Source organism: Homo sapiens, chromosome 16 (genome assembly GCF_000001405.40).
Source record: "Homo sapiens chromosome 16, GRCh38.p14 Primary Assembly".
Classification (NCBI taxonomy): Eukaryota; Metazoa; Chordata; class Mammalia; order Primates; family Hominidae; genus Homo; species Homo sapiens.
In genome coordinates, this window is record NC_000016.10 from 72,110,939 (window position 1) to 72,127,677 (window position 16,739).

The window sequence follows — 16,739 nt, forward strand, 5'->3', positions numbered from 1 at the left end:
CTGTCCCTCTTCAATAGGAGAACCGTCGTCGGGCCAAAGAGGAAGCCTCTGCCATGGAGGAGGAGATGGCGCTGGCCGAGGAGCAGCTGCGAGCCCGGCGGCAGGAGCAGGAGAAGCGCAGCCCCCTGGGCAGTGTCAGGTGAGCTCCGGCCTTCGGGCTCTGGCTGGGGTGGCACCCATCCCAGGAGGCTGCCAGAGACCAGGCCCTGATGCAGGGTCAGGATTTATGGGAAGGTGCATGTGTGAAGGCAAACTGGTGACAGAAGTTGCTTGTGCATTTGGTGGTCACATGGATGTGTGGGAGGAGTTCCTGACAGCTTTAAAGGAGCGACAGTACACCTGCAGGGATTCAGGGCCTGAGGCAGCCTGGAGTAGCAGGATGGGTTTCACAGCTTTACTCATGAGCGAGGGGGTTGGAAACCCCAGTGCAGTGGTGAGAAGTGCGCCTTGGGCTTCTGCGTCTGTGCTGGTCCCTGGAGTTAGGCCAGACTTGACAGGTCGCAGGCACAGGCCTCCGTGAGAACGCCCTCACTTCAGATACCAGCTGCAGGTGTAGACACCATCCTTACTGGTGTCCCCATGGACCCCTGCAGGTTCAGTATTTGCTAGAATGACTTTCAGAACTCCGGAGAGTGCCGTACTTACCATTATAGCTTTATTATACCAAAAAGGTACAAATTAGAACCAGCCAAAAGGAGAGATGCATAGAGCAAGGTCTGGGAGGGTCTCAAATGCGAAGCCTCGTTTGTCCTCAGGACCACGTCCCCCCGTGGCACACTGATGCATGACAGTATGACAGGTTATTGCTAGCCAGGAAGCTCACCTGAACTTCAGTGTCCAGAGTTCTTATCATTGGGGTTCTGTTACTTAGGCATGAATGACTGAATCATTGTCATGTGGTAGAGCTCAGCCTCCAGTCCCCCCTCCTCCCCAGAGGTGAGGCTGATAGCACGTGGCTCAGAGCACCAGTGCTAACCCCGGGGCAGAGAGGCCAGCCTGCCTTGAGTCATGTTGTTAGATAAACTCAAGGGGTTCACCAAGAGTCACCTCATTAGCATAATCTCTCAAACGAGGGCTGAGGGGCCCCCATGAATAGCAGACACTCCAGTCACTTGGGAAATTCCAAGGGTTTAGAGTTGGCTCCTAGGCACTGGGGACAAAGGCAGGCTGCTACACAGTTGGAGTGGCGCACGTGAGGTGGAGGGAAGCTGCTTTTGTAGCTCCCCTAGGGACTGTGGGAGGAGTTGTTAAAATCCGATCTAAAGCATATCGGAATGAGTGAGCTTCCTTGATTACATCGCCAGTCGAACATGGGGACGGCAGAGGAGTGAGAATGTGCCGGGGAGGAGATCCCTCGGCCCAGAGCTCCCCACCATGGGTTAGGAACAGTAAGTCCTGGGGCTCTGCATCCTCCTGCCCTCCTGGCTGTGGGTGAGGGCACGGTGTTTCCTGATCTCTCCTGCTGTGTCTCCAGGTCTACGAAGATCTACACTCCAGGCCGGAAAGAGCAAGGGGAGCCCATGACCCCTCGCCGCACGCCAGCCCGCTTTGGTCTGTGAGCTGAGGCTGTCCCCAGAGAGGATGGCAGCAGGTATTGGGTCCTCAGCCTTCTGGCGGGAGCCCTGAGGCTGCGGACAAAGCCCTTTCATCTGAGGACTTTCATCTGTGCATATCACGGCCCCCCAGGGCAGTTCCTGCTGGACCAGACTCTCTGGCAGAGGAGGTGGAGTTCTTCCATGCAGGAGCACGGCATGGCGGGAGCGGGGCTGCAGAGTATCCGAGGTGCTGCCGGGGCAGCGGGAGGTGGCTGGACCCATCGCATCTAAAACTGGCCCAGGACACTTGGTGTATGCGTGACTTGGCTGTGGCTGTCTTTTTTAATCCTTGTGTAAAGCAGCAAAAAAGACCTAAAGGGAATTGTAATTTGGTTATAATTCAGGATTTGGAAATAAATTTATTATTTGTAAAACATGACTGCATGTCTGACTTTTTCCTTCACCCTCTTAAATCATGTAATAAAGGTGGGGGGTGCAGAAGCCTGCCCTGACTTCCTTTGCATGGGTCGTCCTGGAACTCTGCCCTTATTTCTGCACAAGGCAGACCAAGCTCTGAGGGTGCCCAGCTGCTCCTGAGGCTGGGGGGCACTGGCAGGTCTGCCTTGATGGCCAGGTCATGGGAGGGAAGTGCGCAGGAGTCCACCCCAGCCTTCCCTGGGGTGGTTTGGCTGCTTGAAAGAGGTCCATGTGATTGCTCTGGATGGCAGAGGGTAAGGGTTGTCCATTGACTGAAAAACAGTGTAAAATGTTGCTTATTGATTTTCACGTAAAAGGTGACCCTTACACCAGAATCACCAGTCTTTTCTCTTTTTAAGCAGTCTCTTAAGTCTGCTGAGGTGGCTTTTTGGGTGTTTGGCCCTTTCCACTAACCATGGTGTATATGTTGTGATTCCTCCAGGCTGGGCTTCTGCCAGGTGTGCTGGTTGGCAGGTTCTGTGTTGGGGTTGAGTCACAGACAGGATTGGGGCTCGGAAGCACCTTGATACCAGGCCAGTGCCGGCGTGAGCCCTGTGGTGCGTGGCCTGCTGTGCTGTTCTGATCCCTTTCTCCCTCTGTTCCTGGGATTTGCCTTTCCATGTTTTATAACTCAATAAATGTTAAAATGTAAGTCAATTTTGTGGGTGAGCTCAGAAGCCTAGCTTTGCCAGCCAGCACCAGCTACCACCTCTGCCTCCATTCTTCCCTCTAGCCCCCTTGGGGGAATGCAGGTGGAAATGGGCTTCTCAGGGCTCTGTAGTGAAGAGAGGGCTGCCAGCACTTTGCCTAGGAAGCATTCTAATCTTGGCCCTAGGTTGGAGGACTAGAAGTTGGCTGATGTGTGACCTATTTACAGAATCAGGCAATGGAGTAGGAAAAAGATTGAGGTTCTACTTAACAGTTATTATTAATAAGCTGTGACCTTGGTCACAAACTCACTAAGTCCCTTAGATAAAAAAATAAGGTCAGAGAGGCTATTAAAACAATGGGTCCAACTCAACCATCGTATTTACAAGCAAGGAACACCTGGTAAAGGATACTTGGTACATGTGGGTGCTACAAGAGGAATGGAGGGGTCCCCTGCCCACAGCAGCTCCCCCTGAATTTGCCACGGTACTGGAGCTTCTGCTCAAGGCTCTGTCTCTTCCTGTGTTTCCAGTGTTTTTTTAAATTACAGATCCTTTCCATTCCGATCTTCCTTAAAGTTCCTTCGAGCTTTAATATTCTGATTCTCACTGTCTTTTCTTCAGATGGCAACTGATTGTTTTTCTAGAGGTACAAAAGCATACCTATGACATGGTCTCTAGCACCATGGCCCCGTTGTGGACTCCTGAGTCTGGCTGACCCTTGTTATTGTCTGTATTTTTTTAGTGTAACCATCCTAATGGCTGGTATCTCATTGCAGTTTTGATTTGCATTTCCCTAGTATTTAGTGGTGTTGAGCATCTTTTCATGTGCTTATTATTGGTCATTTGTTTATCTTCTTTGGAGAAATGTCTCAAGTCCTCTTCCCCCCCGCTTTTTTTTTTTTGCATTAGTAACTTTTTAAAAATTTTTAAATTTCAACTTTTATTTTAGATACTGAGGGTACATGTGCAGGTTCATTATATGGGTATACTGTGTGATGTGGTAGGTTTGGGGTATGGATCCCATCACCGAGGTAGTAAGCATAGTACCCAACAGGTATGTTTTCAACCCATTTCCCTCTCTCTATTCCTCCCAACCAAGTAGTCCACAGTGTTTATTGTTCCTATATTTATGTCCCTGTGTGCTCAATGTTTAGCTCCCACTTATAAGTGAGAAGAAGTAGTATTTGATTTTCTGTTCCTGCAAGAATTAGCTTAGGATTATGGCCTCCAGCTGCATCCATGTTGTTGCAAGGGACATGATTTCATTCTTTTCTATAGCTGTGTAGTACCCCATGGTGTGTATGTACATTTCCTTTATCCAGTCCACCATTGCTGGGCACCTAGGTTGATTCCATGTCTTTGCTATTGTGAATAGTGCAGCGATGAACATGCGAGTGCATGTGTCTTTTTGGTAGAATGATTTATTTTCCTTTGGGTATACGCCCACTCATGGGATTGCTGGGTCAAATGGTAGGTCGATTTTAAGTTCTTTGAGAAACCTTCAAACCTTTGTTCACAGTGGCTGGACTAATTTACATTCTCACCAGCAGTATATAAGTGTCGCCTTTTCTCACCAGCCTTGCCGGCATCTGTTATTTTTTGACTTTTTAGTAATAACCATTCTGACTGGTGTGAGATAGTATTTCATTGTGGTTTTGATTTGCATTTCTCTGGTGATTAGTGATCATGAGCATTTTTTCATATGTTTGTTGGCTGCTTGTATGTCTTCTTTTGAGAAGTGTCTGTTCATGTCCTTTGCCCATTTTTTTAATGGGGTTATTTGTTTTTTGCTTGATTTGTTTAAGTTCCTTATAGATTCTAGATATTAGGCCTTTGTCAGCTGTGTAGTTTGTGACTGTTTTCTCCCACTCTGTAGGTTGTTTATTCTGCTGATAGTTTCTTTTGCTGTGTAGAAGCGCTTTAGTTTATTAGGTCCCTCCTAGCAATTTTTGTTTTCGTTGCAATTGTTTTTGCTGACTTAGCCAAAAATTCTTGGCCAAAGCCGATGTTGAGAACGATTTCTTTTTTTTTTTTTTTTTGAGACAGAGTCTTGCTCTGTTGCCAGGCTGGAGTGCAGTGGTTTGATCTTGGCTCACTGCAACCTCCGCCTCCTGGGTTTAAGCGATTCTCCTGCCTCAGCCTCCCAAGTAGCTGGGACTACAGATGTGTGTCACCACGCCCAGCTAATTTTTGTATTTTTAGTAGAGACGGGGTTTCACTATGTTGGCCAGGATGGTCTCGATCTGTTGACTTTGTGATCCACTTGCCTTGGCCTCCCAAAGTGCTGGGATTACAGGTGTGAGCCACCACACCTGGCCTGATAATGATTTCTTTCTTTCTTTCTTTTTTTTTTTTTTGAGTAGTACTCTCACTCTGTTGCCAGGCTGGAGTGCAGTGGTGCGATCTCGGCTCAATGCAAGCTCCGCTTCCCGGGTTCATGCCATTCTCCTGCCTCAGCCTCCCTAGTAGCTGGGACTACAGGCGCCCACCACCATGCCCAGCTAATTTTTTTTCTTTTTTTTAGTAGAGACGGGGTTTCACCGTGTTAGCCAGGATGGTCTTGATCTCCTGTCCTCGTGATCCACCCGCCTCGGCTTCCCAAAGTGCTGGGATTACAGGCGATAACAATTTCTATAGTCTGAGGTCTGACATTTAAATCTTTAATCCATCTGGAGTTAATTTTTATATATGGTGAAAGATAGGGGTCCAGTTTCATTCTTTGGCATATGCTCTGCCCATTTTTGAACTGGGTTGTTTGTTTTCTTGAGTTTTAGGAGTTCTCTATATATTCTGGATATTAACATCAGAGATATGATTTGGAAATATTTTCTCCTATTCTGTGGGTTGCCTTTTTACTCTGTTGATGTTGCTTTTGATGCACAAAAGTTTAAAAGTTTCAGGATGTCTAATTTGTCTATTATTTCTTTTCGTGCCTGTGCCTTTGGTGAACTAATCACTGCCAAATCCAGTGCCATGAAGGGTTTGTTCCATGTTTTCTTCTATGAGTTTTATAGTTTCAGTGGCTACATTTAGGTCTTTGATCCATTTTGAGTTAATTTTTGTATAAGGTATTAGGTAAGGGCACAGCTTTATTCTTTTGCATGCAAATATTCAGTTTTCCCAGCACCATTTGTTGGAAAACTAAAACAAAAACTATCCTTTCCCCATTTCATAGTCTTGGCATCGTTGTCAAAATTATTTGACCATATATGTGAGGGTTTATTTCTGGGATTCTTTCTAGTCTATTCCATTGGTTTGTATGTCTGTCTTTTGATTTATATGGCAGTACCACACTATTTTGATTACTGTAGGTTTGTAGTAAGTTTTGAAGTCAGTAAGTTCTTCAGCTTTGTTCTTCTTTTTTGAGACTGTTTTGGCTGTTGGGATCCCTTAAGATTCCATGTGAGTTTTAGGTTGAGTTTTCCTATTTCTGCAAAAAAAAAAAAAAAAAAAATTGGGATTTTGACAGAGATTACATTGAATCTGTAGATCACTTTGTGTATACTGACATCTTAATATTAAGTCTTTCAATCCATGAACATGGGATGTGTTTCTGTTTATGTCTTCTTTAATTTCTCTCAGTAATGTTTTATAGTTTTCATTGTACAAGTCTTTTACTGCCTTGGTTAATTCCCAGGTATTTGTTTATTTTTTTTGCTATTATAAATGAAATGAAATTATTTTTATAATTTCCTTTTCAGATTATTAATTGTTGTTATATAAACCTGCAACTCATTTTTGTGTGTTGACTTTGTATCCTGTTACTTTGCTGAATTCACTATTAGTTCTACCAGGCTCTTTTTTGGGGTGGGGTGGTCTGTAGAGTCTTTAGGGTTTTTTACATATAAGATCTGTGAACAGAGATAATTTTACTTCTTCCTTTCCAGTTTGAATCCCTTTTATTTCTTTTTCCTAATTGCTCTGCCTAGAGCTGCCAGTACGATGCTGAATAGAAGTGGCAAAGCAGGTGTTCTTGCCTTATTCCTGATCTTAGAGGAAAAGCTTTTAGTCTTTCACCATTGAGTATAATGTTTGTTCTGGGTTTTTCATATGTGGTTTTATTTTGCTGAGGTAGTTTCCTTCTAATCCTCATTTGTTGAATGCTTTTTAAAAAATTCATAAAAGAGTGTTGTTGTAACCATTTCTTTTTAATATCAGCTGTTCGAACTACTTTTTAGGAGCTCAATTCCTTGGTTATTTCTTAACAAATTATAGGCAGGCAACACTCAGTTTCCCTGCCCTTCCTCCTGTCTTTAGAGAAACTGCACTTCTCTAAGTCCATCCCCTGTACTCAGCCAGGTCTTCTGCCTAGCTGGGCTGTCACAGTCGGATGGCTGGGTAATATGTCGATGTTTTTCTGGCTCTGCTACCAATTAGCTCTCCATAACTGACTACCTGCTTTGCTCTGGTGTAATCACTCCACAGGAAGTGAAAGATAACTTTGGAAAGATGTACAACATTCAAAGAAACCAGAGATTGTCATTTTGGCCAACGTATATGAAATATTTTGGTAAATTATAGAGATAAAATCCCTTTTTAGTAGACTAGGCTGGGGATTTTAATGGCATTGAACTTTAGTTTGAATAAAGCAAGCCACAGGCTAGATGAGTACTAGATTTTTCAATCTTTGTTTTCTCTAGAAAACAAACCCATATTCTAAACCACATGGGGGAACGTAGTTCAAAGAGCTTAAACAGACAACAACTATCATAACAGAAACTACCAGAGATGCCTGTCACTCCTAGCTCACACTGCATTTCTGGAACTGCCCTTCCCAAGTTCTGTCAGGGGCATCCTATGTAATATGTTAGTGTTCCTATTAGCAGTGAATTTTCTTGGCCTTTATTAGGCCCAGGAAGAATATTGAAGAATCATTGCTAACCAGTGGGTTTCTTCCTTCACTTTTACTGCCCCCCTCAGAAGTGTAAGATCTTTCATTTCTTTCCCTTATATTAATATTACCCTAGTAGTGAGTTGTCTCCACTTCCTATAGACTAGAAATATAAATTCTAGACATGTACTCAGTTTAACAAAATCCTACCAGAATAAAATATTAGCTGTCCTTAGAGTTTGTCATAATGGAATTTCACTTGTATTGAGGTGGCTGGGGAGGAAAATAAAATTGTTAGAAGGAGGAATGGAATGTGGAGCCCGGTGGTGGGCGGGGGGGCAGGTGGCGTGCTCTTGCTCCCCCACTTGGAAAATACAGCCCTTATTGCTCTTCCTTTCTTTGGGGTCTCAGGATTACTTCCTCTTTGGAGTTTTTAGACTTTCTCTTTTTAAGTTTCAGATAGTAATGGAAAGAAAAAAAAAGGAGCTACTTATCACTTTTGTTGGTTTAAAAACGAATCCAGAAGCTTGCATTGGGTATTATGGCTTCCCTGTATATGGAAGAGACCAATATCTCTTAGAATTCAGAGAAAACAGGATGAACATGTTGCTGGGGGATTGCGGGGCAGAAATGTCTGCTAGACGCCAACAGCTCACCACAACTGCTGTGCTCATGCTCATGTCTTTATTTCAGAGTTTGGGCCTGGAGATGGTAGTATGGTTCTAAAGCTCACTCCATGGCAGGAAGTGGACAAAACTCAACAAAAGTTAGTGTCTTGCAAAATAGGCTGGGACCGTGATATACTCCTGTAAGAGCTGATCCAGGTCAAGAGAGAGGGAGGGCTGGGAACTCACTGTCCTCTGAAGAAACACCCGTGGAAATGCTGCTCAGGGCTAGATGTGGATTCTAGCAGTATGAGGAACCTGAGGGAACAGGGAGGAAATGAGAGTTTTGATTCGAGGAGAAATTAACGAGGTGATTCCTCAAGGGCTGGCCGCATGGCCAGGCAGCTCTGCTGCAGGGTGACTTCTTGCCTCTGGGGTAACATGGAGTTTACAGGTGGCAGGAAAGGCGGCTGTGGACCCAGGCTGGGTAGGTGGCTGGGGTGCTCTTACGGGGTTTCCAGACGTAGAAGGAAGATGCCTCTTCTACCTGTTCCCTAAAATGGGTCTGGGTCAGGGGAGGGGGCAGGTCTGAGATGTGAGGCACTTGGGTATGCTTCAGATGTTCTTAGATCAGAAGGGGTCTTAATTTGCCTCCTCCCTTTACAGATGTGAAAACAACGATCTTTGGTCCAAAGTCGCTAAGAAAATGACTTGAGGCCACAAAAGGCCTATTTTCTTCTTCCTACTTGAATTCTCAATCCAGTGATTTAAAGAAAAAAATCACACTTATTTTTTTGACAAATGGCAGACGTACCCGGGCAGTGGGGCATCCCGATGTACTTGGTGAGGTCCATTCTTTGACCCATATCCTGGGGCAACCCCTTCCAGCCCAAGGTGCCGCACACTTTCTCCCTCTGTGTGGACTCCGTTCTGCTCGGGCCTAGGGCTTTGGTGCATAGCCTTGTGTTCTCGGCTTTCATCTTCTTCTCTTCTATCTCCTTCTTCAGCTTCTTGTTTTCCTGCTGCAAGTGGACCATTACACTGTGGAGGTGGCTGTGGGAAGGAGAGGAAGGACGGGTTGTGTTGGGGCTGCTGGCTCTGGTTGGTTCCCTGCTAGAAAGGACAGATAAAGGTGTCACAGGGAAGACAGCACAGATGCCCAGGTCTGTTCAGAGCCGGCCTGTTACACATGCTCTGTAGAAATGGAAGCCTACGTGTGTCCTGTGAAAGAAGCCCAGGCCTGGGGTCTGAGTGGACCAGGAGCTGGTACTCCTGCCCAACTCTGCCAGCTCTGGGCCTGTTTTCTTATCTGTCAGACGGGGACAGTCAGGCCTGGCCTGACTGATGGGATTCATACGAGGATCTGGTTTGATAAATGATAGAAATTTGACTTGAAGAGCCAGAAGGCTGGTAGGGACAACTGTGATCATGTGTCCTCGGGTTCTCATGGCCGTGCCTTGGAAACACTCTCACCCAGCACCAATGCCAAAGCCCGCATTCTCTCCGCTCCCCTTTGCTGAAGAGTCGGGAGCACAGGAGATCCCAGCTCTGTCAAGAACTTGGGTGAGTTACTCATCCCCATTTTACAGATTAGGAAATGGAGGCTGCCACGTAGAGGAGAGGAAAGATAATTTAGCGCATTCCCCGTGGCTCAATAAATAGCAACTTTTATTATCACTGTTGTGTGTCTCCAAACTAATGTTGAGGGCAGTGGGTGAAGGTGGGCTCTGAAACCAGACTTCCCACGTTGGAATTGTGACTCTGCCACTTATTAGTTTTGAGACCAGGGGCAAGTTACTTAGTTTCCCAGGTCCTCTCTTTCCTCATCCATAAATGGGGATCATGACTATACTGAACACAGGAGGTCTTATGAAGATGAAATGAGCTCATATGTGTCAACGCTTAGTACCTCACACACAGCAAATAATATGTATTAGTTGAGCTACTATCATCATTAAAAGTTGGTTTTCTTTCAAATAAGAACAGGAGAACTCAAGAGTGAGTTCTTTGTGAAAGAGAACTTCCTGGACTTGGCACAATAGAAGAAAAAGACTGAAGTTATCTGTTACCTTGAGAATCTGACAACTTTTCTTTTACTTACACCCTAGTAAAAAGTTTCGTGGTCTTTTCTAGAGGAAATCAAGTAGAGAATTCATCCTCAACCTCTTCTGTGGGCATATGCTCTACCCTTTTGCTCTCTACAAAGCTGGCCAACCTTGAGGTCGCCTCTTCCCCCGCCCAGTAGCCCCTCACTCCCAGTGCTGGTGGGTCTGGAGAGGGGGTCTCAGCAGTGCCCTCCTTTCCCGGCTCTCTGGCTCCCTCCTGTCAGCATCCCCAAAGCCTTCAATATCCCATACAGCTCATCCACATCCTGACTTCTCAATTCATTGGCCTCCTTATTCCAAAGGTCTCATCCTTCTCTTCAACTCAGCCATGTACCTAAGGCCAAAGCCTAGAATAGGGCTTTCCACCTGGGGTGCCACGAATGGATTCCAGGTGTTTGGAGATGCCTGCCTGCCCTTGGGGGCAGGCTCTGAGGCAGCCACTGCTTGGTCAGCTTTGTCACAAGTATGCCAAACAAATGTGGTTACTTTCATCGTTTTTTAGAGACAGGGTCTCATTCTGTCACCCAGGCCAGAGTGCAGTGGTGTGAACATAGGTCACTGTAGCCTCAACCTCTTGGGCTCAAGCAATCCTCCCACCCCAGCCTCCCAATTAGCTGGGACTGTACGTGTGCACCACCATGCCTGGTTAGGCTCATTTTTAAATTTTTTATACAGACAGGGCCTTGCTGTCGTCCAGGCTAGTCTTAAACTCCTGGGCTCAAGTGATCCTAAACTGTGGTCATTTTCTTTTTCACTTTTATTTTATTTTCACTTTTAGTTTAGATTCAGGGGTACATGTTACATCGGTAAACTCATGTCACAGGATTTTGTTGTACATTTTATTTCATCACCCAGGAATTAAGCCCAGTACCCAATAGTTATCTTGTTTGCTCCTCTCCCTCCTCCCACCCTCCACCCTCTGACAGACCCCATTGTCTGTTGTTTCCTTCTTTGTGTTCCTAAGTTCTCATCATTTAGCTCCCACTTACAAGTGAGAACATGTGGTACTTGGTTTTCTATTCCTGTGTCAGTTTGCTAAGGATAATAGCCTCTAGCTCCATCCATATTCCCACAAAGAAATGATCTCATTCTTTTTGATAGCTGCATAGTATCCATGGTGTTACGTAAGGCATGGTTGTTTTCTAAGTGTTCCCTAAGAAAAGGTTGGGAAGCGCTGTCCTAAGGCTTGTTGTTACTTGTTACTTTGCCACCTCCAAAATCTCAGTTTTAGGCCTTCATACCTTCACCTCCATTCTCAAACTGGTAACACTCCTCGCATACCTCCCTCTTAGTGGACCCAGCTTTGACCATGAGGGGAAGCAAGACCACAGGCCCCCAGATGAGCAGGTGGAACAGAAGGGCTCCTCCAACCTGGCCTGCTCACCTGATGATTTCATGAAGAGATGTTCCTTGTTTGTTCCTTCACTTGGGATCTGTTAGAGCATCTCAGCCCCTGCCCTAAATAATCCAGTCTGCCTTTCAGTGCCTGTTCCCTGCTTAGCACCCTTGACCTCTGAGAACCATGAGAGCAGGAAGGAGCAAAAAGACTACTAAACTCCCTTTGGATTTTTGGTGAGAGAACTAAGGCCCTGAGAGGTCAAGTGATATACCCAAGGTCACATAGATGCAGATTCGAGACCTGGGGGTCTTTCCAAAGCACCAGGCCTTTCCTGGGCTGATCCCCCTATCAAGGGCTAAAGCCAGCCCTGGCTCCCTGCTGACCCTTCTTGTCAGCTCCCAGGAAGCAGCCAGGGTGGTTTAAGATGACTTACTCCTTTTCGCCACTCAGCTTGGCAATGTATTTCACCTGCTCTCGGAGCTGGTTTCCTAGTTTCTCATTGGCGACCCTGTAATAAAATCACAGGAGAAAACAGCAGCCAGTCGCCAGCCTCCCGCGAGCAAGGGTGCAGCTGGCTGAATGGGATGCTGGGTTCTCAGCAAGACTGCTGCTGCATCCCACGTCCCCCACGCATCACCCCGTCCGCAGAGCTAAGGCCTTCCTAGCACCTGGGGATTCAGAGGACTCTCTGAACTCAACTCCTATGCAAAATCCTGTGAGCCCCAGGTGAGTTCAAGGGAATGAGTTCAAGGGGGCCAGGCAGTGAAGCTGGATCCTGGGATGGGAGGAGGATATCTGAGCCAATGTCCCCCTTCCTTCTTGCTGCCGAGCAAAGCACCCCTTCCTTCCTGCCATCGCTGTTTCCAGCTCAGCAGAGGGCTTTCCAGGCCTGCCTGAAGGGTTGAGCCCTCCTCTCCATCTTATTTCCATCCCTTGGGTGTGGGCTGAGACTGGATCTGTTTTCCAGGAGTGCAGGGGTGTGTGTGACTAATCTTTGGCACGCATGTGGCTCCTCGGCTCAGTCCAGGCCTCGGACCCTGCCTCCCTTTTTCCTCCCATACTCACTTCTGCTGTTTTGCCCATTGCTCCAAGTTGGTCATAATCTGATCATTCCCTCGGTAGAGCCTACAGGTGTCTTTGGGCACAGACCACTGGGGCAGGCAGCAGGGCTTGGGTACAAGAAGAAAACGAGACAGTCAGAGGTGGGAGCACAGGCCTGTCAGCCCTCCTTCCGAGTCAGGCCTCTTCTATCTCCCTGGGAAAAGAAAACTTGACTCTGCTGTCCAACCCGAGGCCAGAGTTGTGGAGTTGCCACCAGACCTCCCCCTCTGGCTTGTGCGGGTGGCATCTCACACAAAGGTGACATCTCTGAGAAGGCACCATTTATGGCAGAGACACGTAGATTTGTACACTTATAATCACGGTTTTCAGTGTGAAGGCATTAAAGTGACTCCTAAAAAAGAAGTATGCTAAGCCAATTTTCCAACAGATGGAAGAAAAACATCTGGAGGAAGAGGAAGAGATGCCTTCTTTTTCTCTCTTCTTTTTTTTGACACTCTTGCTCTGTCATTCAGGCTGGAGTGCAGTGGCATGATCACGGCTCATGGCAGCTTAACCTCCCCCCCGGCTCAAGCTATCCTCCCACTTAGCCTGCCGAGTAGCTGGGACCACAAGCATAGGCCACCATGCTCAGCTAACATTTAAACTTATTGTAGAGATGAGGTCTTGCTATGTTGCCCAGGCTGGTCTCAAACTCCTGGACTCAAGCAGTCCTCCTGCCTTGGCCTCCCAAAGTGTAGGGACTGCAGGCATGAGCCACTGTGCCCGGCCTAAGATGCCTTCTTTGTAATTCGAGCAAAGGCCCAGTGGCCACCTGAGCTGTCCTGCGGCCTCCTGCCATGAACTTCACTGCTCAGGGAGGTGGGCCTGGGACAAGCCCAGAAGGTCACTTAGTCCATTCTACTGTAGGGTCCAGGGCTGCCAAAAGTGTCAGGATGTACTCTGGAAGGGGACCCAGTGGACTAGGTCAGGGGTAGCTGGTGTACCTGACAGTCTCTTCTCTAGAATGGGGCCTTCGCTCTGCTCAGTATCTATCAACAAAGCCACAAGAACACAGGTGGGTTGAACCAGCAGCTGTGGCTCTTGCTTTGTGCTAAATGGAGGGGGTGACCTTTCCTTTGCTCCCAGGCTCTCCCACCCCCACCAAGGGCTGTCTGGCATTTGGGTGGTCATAGGATGTGCCTGGAGGCACTGAGAGGAGGCACGCAGAAGCCAAGGCATGCCCACCTCCTTATCGTCCTCAAGGAGGTTCTCTTTTAAGGCGGCCATCTCCTCCTGGAACTCCCTGAGCTGCTCCTCTTTGGCTGCCAGCATCTTGAGGTCATTCTGGTGTTGCTTCTGCCACTGCAGCACCTGGCAGCTCATCTCCTCTAGCTTCTTGTCAAAGGCGTGCACCTACTCAGGAGAGCAAAGTGAGGAGGGGGACTCCAGCTGGCCTCCCTGACCGCAGGACCCACAAGGCCAGAGGGTGCTTCCTGGGCCTTGGGATACGTGTTGGGGGTATTTTCTTCTCAGTGGCCAGCAGAGGGCACCCATGCTCCGATCTTTGCTGCCTCTGTCTGAAGTTCAGGGAGCCAAGAAAGTGGAGGGAACCTAGCAGCCCAAGGGAATGACTTAGTGCTAAATAATTCTGGATGCAAGAGGTGACCTTGTGGACCCCTACCAGGAAGGCAGCCCAAGCCCCTGGCAGCTCCTCACCTCCAGCTCACTCTCCTGGTGGAAGCCCCGCAGTTTTCTTAATTCCGTATTGAGCTTTTTCATCCTTTCCTCATAAGCAATGATTTCCTCTTCCAGCTGAGCTTTCTTCTCTTGGGTCTGTGTCAAGCTTTGCTGCAGGCTCTTTGTCTCTGAGGTCACGTGATTGAGCTTCCGGAAAAGACAAAGAGGACGAATGGCTGTCAGAGACTTTGACCCTCTCTGCTGAGTCCTGAATGGAGGAGGGTTCCAGTCCCTTCCTGTCCTCTGCCCAGGGTGACACGGACGGTCACCTTGCCTAGTCTCCCAGAGAGGGGTGGGAAATGACAGTGGTTGGTTTTCTGCACCCTGCTTTCTCCTTCCTACCCACTCCCTCCATTTCTTCTCTTTCCAATCCCATGAATTGATGGGCCAGCCATGATCAGCACAGGATGGGGCATGAATTTCCCTGACAATCCAGACTTTGGGAAAACCTTGCCCCCGAGTCACCCATGGGCAGAAAGGCTTGCTAGATTTGGTTTTGATCTTTGTCCTCTTCCTCCGCCCTCCACCCAACTCCAAGCCTCACAAAGAGGAAGCAGGCCTTCTCTGCACAGACATCCCAGCCCACACAAGGGTTTGAGATGGCCCCATTGACAGTCAATAGGCAGGAAATTGGCTCCTGTGCTTCTCCCGCTACCTTGACGTTTCCTTGCCTGAAAACAGCCCTGGAGACTAGAGGGTGTGGCCTCACCTTCTCGAGGGCTTGTGTCAGGTCATCCTGGCAGGCGGCTGACTTCCGGGATAATGCATCATAGGCTTCTTTGGTGATGGTAGTCTGGAGATAGTGCTTCTCCTTCTGCAGAGCTTTGTCCAGCTGGGCCTGCAGGCTCATTAAGGACTCCTTCTGAAGGGCTATCTTTAAGGAGGGAGAGCAGAACTGTCAGGGTGCCAGGTCAGGGTCATAGAGGCATTCTCTGTGCCTATAGGAAATGAACAAGAGCCAAGCTCTCTCCTGTCTGCAGCAACCTGCAGAGTCCGTGTTAACACTCACATCTTCACTTCACCACTGTAAAAGGTAGAGCTGTCTTTCCAGGCTCTTTTGCACCCCTCAGCCACATCTCTCTTTCTAGTTAGCATTTCCCTCAAACAGCAGGAGTACCAGCGGTGCTGGGGCATGATATGCCAAGTACACAAAAAAGTCCCTTTCACATACTCTGCAGCCTTTGATAAAGACCTGGAATCCGATTTGAGGTTAGTGGACATGATAACAACATGTCCTTTGTGTTTTATGCCTCACTTAGTTCCTGATGTAATTCACTAGACTTGATGTGCCAGAAAGCAGGACTGTGCCTGTGTTTTGTTTCCTGCTGTTTCCCCATTGCTGTAACTCAGGGCATGGCACATGACAGAGTTTCAGGAAATGCTCAAAAATGGTCTTTGTTCTGTCACGTGAAATATTGCATTTTTGGAGTTAGGGATCAATTGATCAACATGTTAGGGAACATGTAGTTCTGGTAGAAGTGTGTTTAAAAACTGAAGTCTGTTTTCAACATCGTAATGAGTATTCATGGTATAGTTAAAAGGAAGTTGGGATCTGGAGTCAGAAAAATCTGGGTTGAGGTCCAGGTTCTATCATTTACTTATTTCTCTAGCCTCAGTTTCTGCTTCCACAAATTGAAATCATTTTAACTGTTTCGTGGAGTTTTTATGATGATCAAATGAGGTGATATGTGTAAAAAGGGCTTTGTTTTACTATACGACTATGAGTTACTGTCACAGACACACACAGAAACTAGCCTTCTTATATACTTTAAGTACAGGACAGAGATCTGCTTCTGAGTCTGGAAGCCAGAGGGAGACCTCAGAAATTCATATGCCTGACTTGTATTCTTTGGTATTCTAGCACACCTGCATCTGAAAGTGGCCATGCACACAGAAACACATTCTTTTGGGTTTTCTTGTTTTATCTCCAGTAACTGATCAGTGCTTCAAGTTTATTACTTTTTCAGATACAATTTTGAGTACCTCTGGCCCTGGGAATTAGTGAGATGAAAAGTGGTAAATTGGACTTCTGACACCATATTTTACATGCCCTGGTGGTGAAACTATTCCTAAAGATGAAATAATTTGGTCTTCTGAAAACAGAAGTGCATCTTTTCTGGGGACTTCTGAAAAACATGGAGTCAGCAGGGTCTGCCCAGTAAACCAGAGGAATCACTGGAGAAACTATAATTCACTGTCAATGCTTGATAAATGATGGCTGAACTGAGAAATGTCAGTATAGAGGTAAGACACTAAAACTGAGGATGGTGAAAAAAAATTACAGTGAAGCTAGAAGCTAAAATGGAAGCTTTAAAAATTTTTGCTAACATGAGTGGTTTAGCTTGGAGAAAGATTCTAAAAATCTACATATAGAAGTATGTAAATTATAGAACCAAGAAGTTCTAGTAAAAGTTCTAAT

At 46.8% G+C, this 16,739-nt stretch overlaps 2 protein-coding genes across 13 annotated transcripts in view, besides 3 other annotated features; one reads left to right on the top strand and one right to left on the bottom strand.

Moving 5' to 3' along the window:
* Positions 1–1,974, top strand: part of DHX38 (DEAH-box helicase 38) — a 19,066-nt gene extending 17,092 nt beyond the window's left edge. For 3 of the 4 annotated variants that reach the window (XM_011523484.3, XM_017023913.3, XM_047434985.1), the window contains 3 exons: positions 18–139; positions 1,475–1,591; positions 1,687–1,974. In XM_011523484.3, the coding sequence (XP_011521786.1) occupies positions 18–139; positions 1,475–1,559 (207 nt within the window). In that variant the 3' untranslated portion in view covers positions 1,560–1,591; positions 1,687–1,974. Of the gene's footprint in view, positions 1–17; positions 140–1,474 lie in introns of all 4 variants that reach the window. The other variant, NM_014003.4, reaches the window with a different exon arrangement.
* PMFBP1 (polyamine modulated factor 1 binding protein 1) overlaps positions 5,719–16,739 on the bottom strand; it is a 133,293-nt gene continuing 122,272 nt past the window's right edge. For 6 of the 9 annotated variants that reach the window (XM_011523361.4, XM_011523358.4, XM_011523357.4 and 3 more), the window contains 7 exons: positions 15,030–15,194; positions 14,300–14,467; positions 13,829–13,996; positions 12,608–12,711; positions 11,976–12,050; positions 8,913–9,211; positions 5,719–6,092 (listed from right to left, as the gene is read on the bottom strand). In XM_011523361.4, the coding sequence (XP_011521663.1) occupies positions 5,965–6,092; positions 8,913–9,211; positions 11,976–12,050; positions 12,608–12,711; positions 13,829–13,996; positions 14,300–14,467; positions 15,030–15,194 (1,107 nt within the window). In that variant the 3' untranslated portion in view covers positions 5,719–5,964. Of the gene's footprint in view, positions 6,093–8,158; positions 8,417–8,912; positions 9,212–11,975; positions 12,051–12,607; positions 12,712–13,828; positions 13,997–14,299; positions 14,468–15,029; positions 15,195–16,739 lie in introns of those variants that run through there. The other 3 variants (XM_047434734.1, NM_001160213.2, NM_031293.3) reach the window with 3 other exon arrangements.
* Positions 13,894–14,003: an enhancer, noted in NCBI's record as "active region_11092". NCBI's record gives its function as "activates an Ori minimal core promoter by ATAC-STARR-seq in GM12878 lymphoblastoid cells {active_cell/tissue: GM12878}" and the evidence as "EXISTENCE:reporter gene assay evidence [ECO:0000049][PMID:35858748]".
* Positions 14,014–14,073: an enhancer, noted in NCBI's record as "active region_11093". NCBI's record gives its function as "activates an Ori minimal core promoter by ATAC-STARR-seq in GM12878 lymphoblastoid cells {active_cell/tissue: GM12878}" and the evidence as "EXISTENCE:reporter gene assay evidence [ECO:0000049][PMID:35858748]".
* Positions 14,618–15,119: an enhancer, noted in NCBI's record as "H3K27ac hESC enhancer chr16:72159455-72159956 (GRCh37/hg19 assembly coordinates)". NCBI's record gives its function as "activates a minimal SCP1, AML or CMV promoter by ChIP-STARR-seq in naive H9 embryonic stem cells {active_cell/tissue: H9 hESC(naive)}" and the evidence as "EXISTENCE:reporter gene assay evidence [ECO:0000049][PMID:30033119]".